Consider the following 14,515-nt stretch of genomic DNA (forward strand, 5'->3'; position numbering starts at 1 on the left):
GAGCCTACTATTACTCAAAGGTAAGAGACAAAGCTGTGCTAACAGAACAGATGCCTCTGTCTTTGCAAGTTGTGCCTACTTCTGAGGTGACCTTGGGGGGACCCCACCTGGTCCACATCCCTGGACCAGAACGCGTCCTGGAGGGACAGGTCAGAGGAGCAGCCCACCTGGCTGAGGCCTGGAGGCAGGAATGAGCCAGAGGTGAAACTCCTCCTGGGGGAGGTGGTGGAGTTTTCTCCAAGGAGCGGCTGGGTTGCTGCGCTGAGCAACCTCCAGGGGCAGGAGAGCCAGGGCGGGGGTGGAGGGAGCATCAGGCCTGCTGGGGGAGGCCTCCCCTGCCCGCGACGGGCAAGGCAGTGCCAGTTAAAGCAAGCTTAGTTCCCTCTGTAGATGAGAGCAGGGGTTCCCTCCTTCCTCAGTCGGGGTTAGGAGATGCCAGCATGCTCCAGTTGCTTTCTGGGGCTCCCATACCCTGGTCTAGCACACAGAACTCTATCTGCAGAATGGCTGTTCTTGGCAGCAATCTCAGCCTTCCAGACTCCGCTCCAACTTTGGAGCATTTGAGCTCTATTTTTATGCAGAGAGGAGAAGTTTCCCATGTTTGAAAATAGCTGCCATGCAGAGGACTGTGGTAGCTCCTGTTGTTGGTTGTCCTTCTGTCCTCCTTTTTCTGGAGATGGACTGTGCCCCGGGGCTGTGGGGTGATAAACGGGCCTATTGGAACCCTCCTGGGGACTGGGAGAGGGAAGCTCTTCTTCCACTGGTGTTGCTAAATGGGCATGGTGGAGTTGCCTGGCCCTCTCCCTAACAAGTCAGAATGAGGGCAACACTTGTGGAAGGAAGAGGGGCTGGGAGTGGTGCCAGCGTCCGTGAGCCCCTTGCACCTGCCTCCATCCTGGCCTTCCCAGCCACGTGAGCCTTTTTCTTTTTTGCTTAAGCTGACTGGAGTCGGTCCTGACTGATACCATGAAGGCCTGCTTCCTTCCCTGAGTTCTAAGGTGAGCCCAGCTGCAGGTGCCTCCAGATTCCCACCCTGAAACACCCAATTTTAAGACTGTGATAGTTGCTTCCAGTAGGCAGCTGGGGAAGAAACTTGATGTACCTGCGTTAGGCCAAAAATCTAAGTGGAAAGACTTAGGAAGCAGGGAACACCTTTCTTCAGCTGTTCAATGTTCAGTGTTCAGTGTCGGTCCGAAGACCCCTGGGTGAGAGATAACAGTTTCTCTTTCAGCGTCAAGTTTATACATTTAGTTTATAGATGTTTGCTTTGGTGACAAGTGAAGAGCTGAAAAAAGAAGGAGTGTGCATGCAAACCCAGTTCCTTGGGAGAGGAAGATGCTGGTGGGCTGGGAAGAGATTTCAAGGGGGAGAGAGGTGCTTGGCTGCCTGTATAGTCATTGTGGGGTGTGGGCCAGATGTGTCAGGTCTTATGGCCTAGGAGGGAGAGCTGGGTTTAGACCCTCACTCTTCCATAGCACAGTAACAAACAGCCTGGCCCGCCCAGAGGGGAAGGTGGATGCTCATTAGAAATTTCTGTGCTCCAAGCTGCCCTGGGTTCTCCTGGGCCAGAGCAAGCTGGGGTCTGGTCTTGCCCCTCTGCTGAGGCTGGAACAGCTGACCGACAGCCCCCTGCTGTCACATTCCTGGAAATATGCAGGGACCCCTGTGCCCCACCTGGGGGAGAATTGGGGTCTGGCTATGTGGCAAGCACTCGGGAAGCAGGGAGGGAAGCGTAGTATGCCTGTGTGCTGTGGCCCACTCATCCCAGTCCCGGCCCCTTCCTCATGTAACAGATGAGCAAAATGAAGCCAACCCAAGTTTAAACAACTAGCAAGTATTTTATACTTGGGGCCAGGATTTATACCTGCAGTCTCTGATTCCATTGCCCGTGGACTTTACCCCGCTATGGGACCGTCTCCCTGAGCCTTCCAAAGGAGGACATGTGCCACCAAAGGGCTACCAGCACTGCAAAGTCTGTCAGCTCCCTACCCATGAACTTGTATTTGCCTTTTGCCCTTTGACCCCACTGTCCAGAGATTTTTGTCTCCATCAACTGCCTCACTCAGGCGTCGTCAGCCCAGAGTCTGACCCGAGTCCCACTTTTGCCTCACTGTGCAAAGCTTGGGTTCCTACTCACAGACCTACAGTGTTTGTCAGTAAAGAGGTGGGCCACCCCAGAGTAGACATGTGTTATTAGATTAGATGAGAAAACTAAGCCTCAGAGGATGTGATTTTTTTTTTTTTTTTTTAGACGGAGTCTCGCTCTGTCGCCCAGGCTGGAGTGCAGTGGCACTATCTCTGCTCACTGCAAGCTATGCCTCCTGGGTTCATGCCATTCTCCTGCCTCAGCCTCCCAAGTAGCTGGGATTACAGGTGCACGCCACCACACCCAGCTAATTTTTGTATTTTTAGTAGAGATGAGGTTTTGCCATGTTGGCCAGGGTGGTCTTGAATTCCGGACCTCACGTGATCCGCCTGCCTCAGCCCCTCAGCCTCCCAAAGTGCTGGGATTACAGGCTGAGCCACCATACCTGGCTGAATTTTTATGTTTAAAAAGACAGCCTCGCTCTGTTGCCCAGGCTGCAGTGCAGTGGCACTATCATGGCTCACTGCAGCCTCAAATCCTGGACTCAAGCAAGAGCCAGCTTGTGTGTATATGCATGTGTGTGTATATATATATGTGTGTATATATATACATATATATATACATATATACATATATATACATATATATATACGTATATATATATGTATATATATACGTGTATATATATATGGTTTTTTTTTTTTTTTTGGTAGAAACTGGGTCTATGTTGCCCAGGCCTGTCTCAAACTCCTGGCCTCAAGCAATCCTCCCCTCTCAGCCTCCCAAAGTGCTGGGGTTACAAGGATGAGCCACTGTGCCAGGAAGAGGATTTAACCTTTTAATTTCAAATAGGCAGTAAAAGGTAAGGCAGGTTGGGGTTGCCTAGGTTTTGAAGTTGCTGTAGGGAAATGGGGAGTGACTACTATGGGATGTAGGGTTTCTTTTCGGTATGATGAAAATATTCTAAAATTCACTGTGGCAATGGTCGAACAACCCTGTGGATATACCAAACCCCATTGAATGATACACTTAAAATAGGTGAATTATGTGGATGTAAACTATATCTCAATAAAGTTGTATTAAAAAATAAAATTCCAGCCAGGTGCAGTGGCTCACACCTGTAATCCCAGCACTTTGGGAGGCTGAGGTGGGTGGATCATCTGAGGTCAGGAGTTCGAGACCAGCCTGGCCAACATGGTGAAACCCTGTCTATACTAAACATACAAAAATTAGCCAGGCGTGGTGGTGGGTGCCTGTAATCCCAGCTACTCGGGAGTCTGAGGCAGGAGAATCACTTGAACCCGGGAGGTGGAGGTTGCAGTGAGCTGAGATCGCACCACTGCACTCCAGCCTGGGCGACAGAGTGAGACTCCGTCTCAAAAAAAAAAAAAATTTCACTGAATCTAAAAAAAAAAGTTCAGGCAGGGCCTCAATTCCAAATCTTGTAATAACCAGAACAAATCGATCAATTCAGACTGCCCCTCCAATACCAGTAACAGACAGGACCTTCATGTGATGCGCTAATAGGCTTACTGCCCACCAGAAGTCTCCTTTTAATGTCCTCCTCTCCCCCACCCCCGCCCAGGGTTGGGGCGGACCGTCCCTGAGGTGTCCTTCACAGTTCTGATGACGAATAAAAGCCTAGGGACTCTGCGGAGACTGAAATTTTATCACTGATTCATGATGCCATGAGCCCCCTCCTGCTTGTGAGCTGGTTGCTTGGAATCCGGGGTGCAGTCTGGGGTGAAGGGCTGTAATTTACTGGGCATAGTCACTCCCCTTCCTCGCTTGTCATACCATTGGATTAGGTGCTCACACAGGGTAGAGACCTGTCTACTCATTCCGGAGTCCCAGTGCCTCCTGTCCTGCTACTGCACTCAAAGGGTGTATTACTTTGTTTGTACATTGTCTCCCACTCACTAAAATAAAAGTTCTGCAAGGCAGGGGCGTTGTCTCTCACGTCCACCTCTGTGCCTTGCCCAGTTGTAAGCTGGGCACAGTGGCTTTTGCCTGTAGTCCCAGCTACTCGGGAGGCTGAATGAGGTGGAAAAATGGCTTTTTTTTTTTTTTTTTGAGATGGAGTCTCGCTTGTTGCCCAGGCTGGAGTGCAGTGGCGCGATCTCTGCTCACTGCAAGCTCCGCCTCTGGGGTTCAAGTGATTCTTGTGCCTCAGCCTCCCAAGTAGCTGGGATTACAGATGTGCACCACCACTCTTGGCTAATGTTTTTTGTTTTCTGTTTTTGTTTGTTTTTTTTTTTTTGAGACAGAGTTTCGCTTTTGTTGCCCAGGCTGGAGTGCAATGGTGCAATCTCGGCTCACTGCAACCTCTGCCTCCCGAGTTCAAGCGATTCTCCTGCCTCAGCCTCCCGAGTAGCTGGAAATACAGGCATGCAACACCATGCCCGGCTAATTTTTTGTATTTTTAGTAGAGACTGGGTTTCACCGTGTTAGCCAGCATGGTCTCGATCTCCTGACCTTGTGATCCACCCACCTCGGCCTCCCAAAGTGCTGGATTACAGGCGTAAGCCACCGCACCTGGCTATTTTTTTTTTCTTTTTTGTATTTTAAGTAGAGAAGGATTTTTACCATGTTGGTGAGGCTGGTCTTGAACTCCTGACCTCAGGTGATCCACCTGCCTCGGCCTCCCAAAGTGCTGGGATTAGAGACATAAGCAACCACACCCTGCCTGAAAGATGGCTTGAGACCTGGAGTTTGAGGCTGCAATGAGCTCTGATGGCACTACTGCACTCCAGCCTGCAGCCTGGGCGACTGAGTGAGACCCCATGTCTTAAAAATAAGTAGTTGTAGAATACAGTTGTTGAAGAAGTATGTGAGTGAATAGATAATAGTTTCAGATTCCCACGGTGTTTCTGATAACATTTTGTACTCATCAAATCGACTGACAATATAAACGTAATCTTCGTTCTCTTCCAGTGTTTATGTGACAGTAAGTGATAAGTTCTGCAAGGGTAAGGCTGTTCCCTGTGGCGTTCACTTCCACACCTTGTCCGTAATAAGTGTCCAATAGATAGTTGTTGAATGAATGGATAAATGAACCCAATAACATTTGTTGTAGGAAGAAAAATCACAGTGACAATCAGAAGGTCTCCAGAGAAGGGAGGCAGGAAGAGCAGGGAAGTGTTGTTCCATACAGTTGCTAACTCTTTATTACATCCTTTATGTCTGTCCCATCCTGGCTCCTCGCCTGGGCCCACACTGCCCATGCAGGGATAACCTGGGATAACCAGCCGTGGGTGCTCACTTACCTCGAGGAAGTTGACTCTTGTACAGTCTTCCAACTCCCATTTGCCCCTGCCGTTACATTTCCCCCAAATTTGCAAAACTCCTAACAATATACATGGCATTACCAATAATGCATTGTGAAGCTGAAATAGACTTTTCTAAACTGTCAATGAAAGGCAAATTTTGATCAAACGTGCTAGAGGAAAGACTGAATTATCCCTTCTGTTCTCTCTAGAGAAAATCATATCATAAGATTGTTATATGAAGTCGCAATCAGTGTGCAGACCCTACTCTCTGGTCTGAAAAAATATTATAGAGGTGTGTCAGGCAGTTTATGAAAATATTTTATAGGCCGGCCATGGTGGCTCATGCCTGTAATCTCAGCGCTTTGGGAGGCTGAGGTGGCAGGTCACAATGTTGGGAGTTCAAGACCAGCCTGACCAATGTGATGAAACCCCATCTCTACTAAAAATACAAAAATTAGCCAGGTGTGGTGGTACAGGCCTGTAATCCCAGCCACCGGGAGGCTGAGGCAGGAGAAACACTTGAACCTGGGAGGCGGAGGTTGCAGTGAGCGGAGAGTGCCATTGCACTCCAGCCTGTGCAACAAGAGCGAGACTCCATCTAAATAAATAAATAAGCAACAAAATTGCATAAGCTTTAGGGTCCACACAGCCTGGATCTATTCCAGTCCCCTCTGAGTAACAGTGGGGAAATTCCCTGGTGCAGGAGTCACAGTTCCTTCTTTCTGCTTTTCCACGTCTCATTCCAGCCGTGTCTTACGTCCTTAGGAGAGCTCACTGGGTTTTTGTTTTTTGTTTTTTGTTTTCTGAATTTAATTGACTTTGAGGAGAGAGGCAGAGGGGACACATGACCCAAGGTGTCCTTCGTCAGAAAGGCGGCCAGGTTGGGAGGAAGTAGGGGAGTCCTGTGTGAATTCAGAAGATGTCAGAGCCGGAATTGTGGTGGAAGTCACATTCACAGAGACTTCAGTTAATTGAGAGAAACACCTTTCTCATAGTTGACCTTCTGCTGGCAACGCTGCCTGGGCAGGCAGGTGGATTCCATGGTATCTGAAGTCTCCCCTTTCAGCACCTAGATGCTGAGGGGAGCAGTTAAGGCCTCACAGGAGGGACTGGTACTTGGAGGTTGGACTTGACACGGGGGCAGGGCGGAGCCTGGTCTCACAAACCCTGTGCCTTCGATGTTCTGCTAATATTAACAGGAATATATCATAAGTTCTTAGATGATATGTGAAATTATATAATACCATTTGAAAGTTGACTCTGATAAGTTGGATGTATACTATAAACCCTAAAGCAACCATTAAAGAAACAAAGAATTATAGCTAATAAGCCAATAAAGAAGATAAAATAGAATCATCAAATATGCTCCATTAATCTATAAGTAGGCTGAAAAAGAAGAAAAGAGAAACAGAAAACATGTAGGACCAATAGAAAACAAATTTCAAGATGATAGACTTAATCCTAATTGTATCAGTAATCACATTAAATAAAAATGGTCTAACACTCCCAATTAAAGGCAGATAATATCAGATTGGATATCAAAGCAAGACCCAACCATGCTGACTTCATGAGGTGCGCTTAAATATAAGAACACATAAGGTAGGCCAGGTGCGGTGGCTCATGCCTGTGATCCCAGCTCTTTGGGAGGCCGAGGCGGGCGGCTCACCTGAGGTCAGGAGTTCAAGACCAGCCTGGCCAAATGGTGAAACTCTGTCTCTACAAAAATACAAAAATTAGCCGGGCATGATGGTGGGCGCCTGTAACCTCAGCTACTCAGGAGGCTGTGGCAGAAGAATCGCTTAAATCTGGGAGGGGGAGGTTGCAGTGGGTAAAGATCGTGCCATTGCACTCAAACCTGGGTGACAGAGTGAGACTACGTCTCAAAAAAAAAAGGGTCAGGCGCGGTGGGTCATGCCTGTAATCCCAGCACTTTGGGAGGCCGAGACGGGTGGATCACGAGATCAGGAGATCGAGACCATTCTGGCTAACATGGTGAAACCCCGTCTCCACTACAAATACAAAAAAAAAAAAAATTAGCCAGGCGTGGTGGTGGGCGCTTGCAGTCCCAGCTACTCAGGAGGCTGAGGCAGGAGAATGGCATGAACCTGGGAGGCGGAGCTTGCAGAGGGCAGAGATCATGCCACTGCACTCCAGCCTGGGCGATACAGCGAGACTGTCTCAAAAAAAAAAAAAAAAAAAAAGAACACGTAAGGTAGGTCAGGAGTTCGAGACCAGCCTGGCCAACATGGTGAAACCCCATCTCTACTAAAAATACAAAAAAAAAAAAAAAAAATTAGCTGGGCATGGTCGTGGGTGCCTGTAATCCCAGCTAGTCAGGAGGCTGAGGCAGGAGAAGTGCTTGAACCCACGAGGCGGAGGTTGCAGTTGCAGTGAGCCAAGACCACACCATTGCACTCCAGCCTGGGCAACAAGACTGAAGCTCCATCTCAAAAAAAGAAAGAAAAAAAAGGTAAAAGTAAAAAAGATGGAAAAAGTTAGACATACAAACACTAGTCAAAAGAAAGCTGGAGTGGCTAGATTAATGTTAGACCAAGTTGATTGCACAGGGATAGTGCATTTCATAATGACAAAGGGGTCAATTCACCCAGAAGACATAAAAATCCTAAATGTTTATGCACATAGATCTTCAAAACACATGAAGCAAAAACTGATAGAATGGTAAGGAGAAATAAAGAAACTTCCAATTATGGCTGGAGATTTCAATACCTCTGTTTCAATAATTGGTAGAGCACGAAAATAGAAAAATAATTAAGGATATAGAAGATTTCAACATTATCAACAGACATGGCCTGAAAGAGTCCACCCAAGAACAGAACACACTATTCAAGTGCATGCCCATGGAAGATTTACCAAGGTAGATCATATTCTAGGTTATAAACCAAGTTTCAATAAATTTTACAAGATTAGAATCATGTTAAGTATCTTCTCTGGCCACAATGAAATTAAATTGGAAATCAATAATAGACTTCTGGGAAATCCTCAAATGCTTATAAACTTGATAACACACTTCTAAAGAAGCCATGGGTCAAGAAGAAATCAAAGGGACATTACAAAGTCTTCTTTGGATTGAATGAAAATGAAAACACAACATATCAGAATGTTGGAGGTATCGTTAAAACAGCCGTTAGGGGAGAATTTATAGCACTAAGTGTCCAAATGAGAAAAAAATAGAGGTCTCAAATCAATGTCCTCAGCTTACACATTAAGAAACTAGAAAAAAGAGACCAAATTAAACCAAACTAAGCAAAAGAAAGGAAATAATGAAGATCAAAGCAGAAATCAGTGGAACAGAAAACAGAAAAATAATAGAGAAAATGAATGAAACTGAAAGCTGGTTATTTGAGAAGATCAATAAAATTGATAAACTTACTACCAGATTGTTTAAAAAAAAAGACTCAAATTATCAATCAGGAATGAAAGAGGTGACTTCCTTAGATATTCTGAAAATATTAACAGGAACATAAGGAATATTTTTGTGGTGTTATGATGTATATTGGTTTTCATCCACAGTTTCTGGCACATAACTCCCATAGCCCTTGTTACAGTCTTTTGTTGGGTGTATTAGGCCTCAGGGGCAGGCCTCTGACCTGCCCTCTTCACTTGCTCCAAGGCAGGACTCTAATGTTCCCCTGCCTCTCTCATTGTGGGTCTTAAGACCCTCCTATGTGAACTCCCACCCTGTGCTCTGGGGGAAGGAATCCTTCCATTAAAAAACGAGAGGACAGGGTTCAGGGAGCTTCCAGATAGCTGAACATGTGGAGGTTCCTGCACAGTGGCACCCAGGAAGGGCATGGAAGCTCCGCACCCCTTTCCCCATACCTCACCCTACGCATTTCTTCATCTGTATCCTGTGCCTTATCCTTTATAATAAACTGGTAAACTAAGTAAGTGTTTCCCTGAGTTCTGTGAGCCACTCTAGCAAATTAGTCAAACCCAAAGAGGGGGTCACTGGAACCCTGACTTGAAGCCAGTCAGAAGTTCCAGAGGCCTGGATTTATGACTGGTGTCTCAGAGTGTGGGACCGAACCCCCAACCTGTGGGATCTGACACTAGCTCCAGGTAGATGGTGTCAGAACTAGATTAGAGGACACCCGGCTGGTGTCTGCTGCTTGGTATGTGGAGGAAAGTCCCCACACATTTGGTCACCGAAGGCTTCTGTGTTGATGACTGTCATGGTGTGAGAGCAGAAGAAAGCACGAATAGTTTCCCCTACACAATTGTGAACAACGTTATGCCAATAAGTTTGACAACCCAGACAAAATGCACAAATTCCTTGAAAGACCCAAACTAGCAGAGTTCTCTCGAGAAGTAGGTTACCCGAATAGTTCTATATGTGTTAAAGAAATTGAATGCGTAGTTAAAAATCTTCCCAATAAGACAGATCTAGCGAATTCTACCAAACATTGAAAGAAGAAATAATAGCAATTCCACACAAATTATTCAAGAAAATTGAAGAGAAGGATACATTTTCCAACCCACTTTATGAGACCAGCATTACTTTAATATTAAAGTCAGATAAAAGACATTATAACAAAACTACGGGCCAATACTCATAATGACGAAAAAATTTAAACAAAATTTTAGCAAAGTGAATTCAACAGTATATAAAGGGGGGATTTATTCCAGGATTGCCACGTTGGTTCAATATTCAGAAATGAATCAATCTTCCAGAAATTTTTCCAGATTAAAAAAAAAAAATCAAGCTAGGTGTGGTGGCATGCACCTCTAGTCCTAGCTACTTGGGAGGCTGAGGCGGAAGGAGGGCTTGAGACCAGGAGTTTTCCGGCTGCAGTGCACTGTAACCATGCCTTAGAATAGCCGCTGCGCTCCAACCTGGGCAACACAGCAAGGCCTCATGTCTGAAAAAAATAAAAATAAATGAATCAATATAGTCATTTTAACAAATTAAAACAGAAAACCTAGATGATAACCTCAATCGATACGGAAAACACATTGACAAAAATCCAACATCCACTCCTGATCAAAAACTTTTGGCAAAGAATAATTAGAAGGGAACATCCTCAACCTGATTGGTGAAGGACGTGTATGAAAAACCTGCAGCCAAAATTATACTTAAAGTGATAGACTGATGATTTCCTCCCATGCTTGGGAATAAGACAAGGATGTGAGATCTCACCTCTTCTAGGCAACATTGTATTGAGGTTTCTAGCTAGTGGGGTTAGGCAAGAAAAAGAAACAGAAGATAGCCATGCGATAAAAGAAAAAGTAGGCTGGGTGTGGTAGCTTATTCCTGTAATCCCAGCACTTTGGGAGGCCAAGGCAGGAGGATCAATGGAGCCCAGGAGTTTGAGACCAGCCTAGGCAACATGGTGAGAACTTGTCTTTACAAAAAATTAAAAAGTTAGCCAGGCTGGTGTTGTGCGCCTGTGGTCCAAGCTACTCAGGAGGCTGAGGCAAGAGTATCACTTGAGCCCCGGAGGTTGAGGCTACAGTGAACTGTGTTCACGCTACTGCATTCCAGCCTGGGTGACAGAGCAAGACCTTGTCTCAGAAAAACAATAAAAGAAACAAAAAAGTAAAAGTAAAATTGTCTTTATTTGCAGACAACCTGATCATCTATACAGAAAGCTGACACAATCTATTAAAAGGTACTAGAACTGGGCCAGGCGCAGTGGCTTACGCCTCTAATCCCAGCACTTTGGAAGGCCGAGGTGGGCGGATCACAAGGTCAGGAGTTCGAGATCAGCCTGGCCAATATGGTGAAACCACTTGTCTACTAAAAATACAAAAATTAGCTGGGTGTGGTGGCACACACCTGTAGTCCCAGCTACTGGGGAGGCTGAGGCAGGAGAATTGCTTGAACCTGGGAGGCAGAGGTTGCAGTGAGCTGAGATCGTGCCACTGCACTGCAGCCTGGGTGACAGAGTGAGACTTCATCTCAAAAACAAAACAAAACACTGCTAGAACTAATGAATGAGTTTAGCAAGATTACAAGATACAAGACTAATATATTAAAATAAACTGGCTGGGCACAGTGGTTCACGCCTGTAATCCTGGCACTTTGGGAGGCCGAGGCAGGTGGATTGCCTGAGCTCAAGAGTTCAAGACCAGCCTGGGCAATGTGGTGAAACCTCATCTCTACTAAAATACAAAACAACAACAACAACAACAACAACAACAACAAAAAAAAAACCACTAGCCAGGCATGGCAGTGTGTGCCTGTGGTCCCAGCTACTCGGGAGGCTGAGGCAGAAGAATTGCTTGAACCCGGGAGGCGGAGGTTGCAGTGAGCTGAGATGGTGCCACTGCACTCCAGTCTGGTGACAGAGCGAGACTCCTTCTCAAAAAATAAAAATAAAATAAAAATAAATTGCTTTTCTGGGTATGAACAATGAGCCATAGGAAATAAACAAAAATTTTAAAATATGCCACTAATAGCAACATCAAAAAAATAAAATACTTATGGATACATTTATCAAAAGATGTAAGAAGACCTGTACATTGAAAACTACAGAACACTGATGAGCAAAATTTTATTTTATTTTATTTTTTATTTTTATTTTTTGGAGAGAGAGTCTTACTGTCATCCAGGCTGCAGTGCAGTGGCATGATCTTGGCTCACTGCAACCTCCGCCTCCCAAGTTCGAGTGCTTCTCCTGCCTCAGCCTCCTGAGTAGCTGGGATTACAGGCACCTGCCACCACACCTGGCTAATTTTTGTATTTTTAGTAGAGATGTGGTTTTACCATATTGGCCAGGCTGGTCTCAAACTCCTGACCTCAAGTGATCTGCCTGCCTTGGCCTCCCAAAGTGCTGGGATTACAGGAAAGAGCCACCACGCCCGACCTGATGAGCAAAATTTTAAATGACCTAAATTAATGGAAAGATCAAATTGATCCATAGATTCAGTGCAATTACAAATACAATCCCAAGAGGCTTTTCTGCAGAAAATTACAAACTGAATCTAAAATTTACATGGAAATTCAAATGACCTAGAATACTAAGAACCATTTTAGAAGAGAAGATCAAAGTTGAAGGACTAACATTACCCAATTTCAAGACTTATTTTTAAAAATTTTGGTATGTAATAATAAAAAGTAAAAAAAAGAATGACATGAAAAGATATGATCCTTGAAAAGATAAAATAAAAATTCTAAATATGTATTTTTTAAAATTGATATATTATAGTTGTACGTATTTGGGGGGTACACGTGATATTTTGTTACATGCATACAATGTGTAGTGATCAGATGGGGCAATTGAGATATCCATCACCTCAAACATTTATCTTTTCTTTATGTTGAGAATATTCATTATTCTAGCTATCTTGAAATATACATTATTGTTAACTATAATCACCCTAGGGAACTACTGAACACTAGATCTTATTCCTTCTATCTAACTGTATTTTCGTACCCATCAATCAATCTCTCTTCATCCCTCTCTTCCCATCCTCTCAGCCTCTGGTCACCACCAATCTGCTGTCTCCATGAGATCCACTTTTTTAGCTTCCACATATGAGTGAGAACATTCGATATTTGCCTTACTGTGCTTGGCTTATGTCACTTAGCATAATGATCTCCAGTTCCATCCATGTTGCCGCAAATGTTGGGATTTCATTCTTTGTTATGGCTGAATGCTGTTTTCAGTTTTGACTTCTTATGCAACTACAATAATCAAGACAGTGTGATACTGATGTGAAGAAAGAAAATGGATCAATGGAATAGAACAGAGAGACTGGAAATGGATTTTCAATGAAGATACAAAGGCAGTTCAGTAGAGAAAGGATCATCTTTTCAACAAATGGTGCTGGAAAATTGAATATTCATAAGGCAGAAAAAATTAACTTCAACCCATACATTGCACCATATATAAAAATTAACTCAAAATAAATCATAGACGTCAATGTAAAACCCAAGATTATGAATCAACTTCTAGAAGAAAGCATAGGAGAAAACCTTTTTGACCTCGAGTTAGACAAAGATTTCTTAGAAACGGTAACAAAAGTACAATCTATAAAAAGGTAAATTGATAAATTGAATTTCATCTGTTGGGGCTCAGAAAACAATACCCCAAAGTGAAGACCTCAGCAGCAGCCTCAGAAGCAAAAGTTTTTCTCTGTCCTTCTTCTTCCCTCTTATCTCTCAGTCCCATTCTGTCCCGAGGCTAGCCGTAGAAACTAGAAATCTCTCTTCCCTAAAGTGGGTCATGGAAACCAGAACCTCTTCTCCCCAAAGCTACTTATAAAACCTAAAAATATACTCTAATTTTCCATCCACCTTTCTGCATAAAAGCTGATCATAAAGAAACTATCTGACCTATCCTGTTTATACCTGTCATAAGACCCCCCGCTCCATCCCAGAGAGGAAGGAATGCATGCTCAGAGAGGCCAAGAAGAATGTAGACACACAGGCCATACTGGGTTTCCTTAACTCAGTCTATTAGCATTAGATCATATTCTTTTTGTCCAATCATACTTCCTCACAGCTGTCTGTACTTTGTTGAACCGAAACATCAAAATGGACAATTTCTCCTGTATCTTTGGGTCTTCATTCTGAAGGCTCCTGTGTATACATGCTAAATACATTCGTGTGCCTTTTCTCCTATTTATCAATCTGCTTCATGTCAGTAATTTTCAACGAACCTCAGAAAACAATCAAAAGGAAACACTTTGGCTCTTTGACACGCTGTTAAAAGAACAAAGGCAGGCTACAGACTGAGAGACAATCTTTGCAAACCATATTTCTTTTTTTTTTTTGAGATGGAGTTTTGCTCTTGTCGCCCAGGCTGGAACGTGATCTCGGCTCACCGCAACCTCCATCTCTTGAACCCAAGAGGTTGAGGCTGCAGTGAACTGTGATGGCGTCATTGCACTCCAGCCTGGGGGACAGAGTGAGACACTGTCCTAAAATAAATAAATAAAAAGCCTGAAAGGAGATATGTCCTGAGTAGCTGGGATTACAGGCATGTGCCACCACGCCCGGCTAATTTTGTATTTTAGTGGAGTTGGGGTTTCTCCATGTTGGTCAGGCTGGTCTCGAACTCCCGACCTCAGGTGATCCACCCGCCTCAGCCTCCCAAGGTGCTGGGATTACAGACATGAACCACCATGCCCAGCCTGCAAACCATATTTCTAAAAAAGGACTTGTATCTAGAATACATAATGAACTCTCAAAGCT

Source organism: Homo sapiens, chromosome 2 (genome assembly GCF_000001405.40).
Source record: "Homo sapiens chromosome 2, GRCh38.p14 Primary Assembly".
Lineage (NCBI taxonomy): Eukaryota > Metazoa > Chordata > Mammalia > Primates > Hominidae > Homo > Homo sapiens.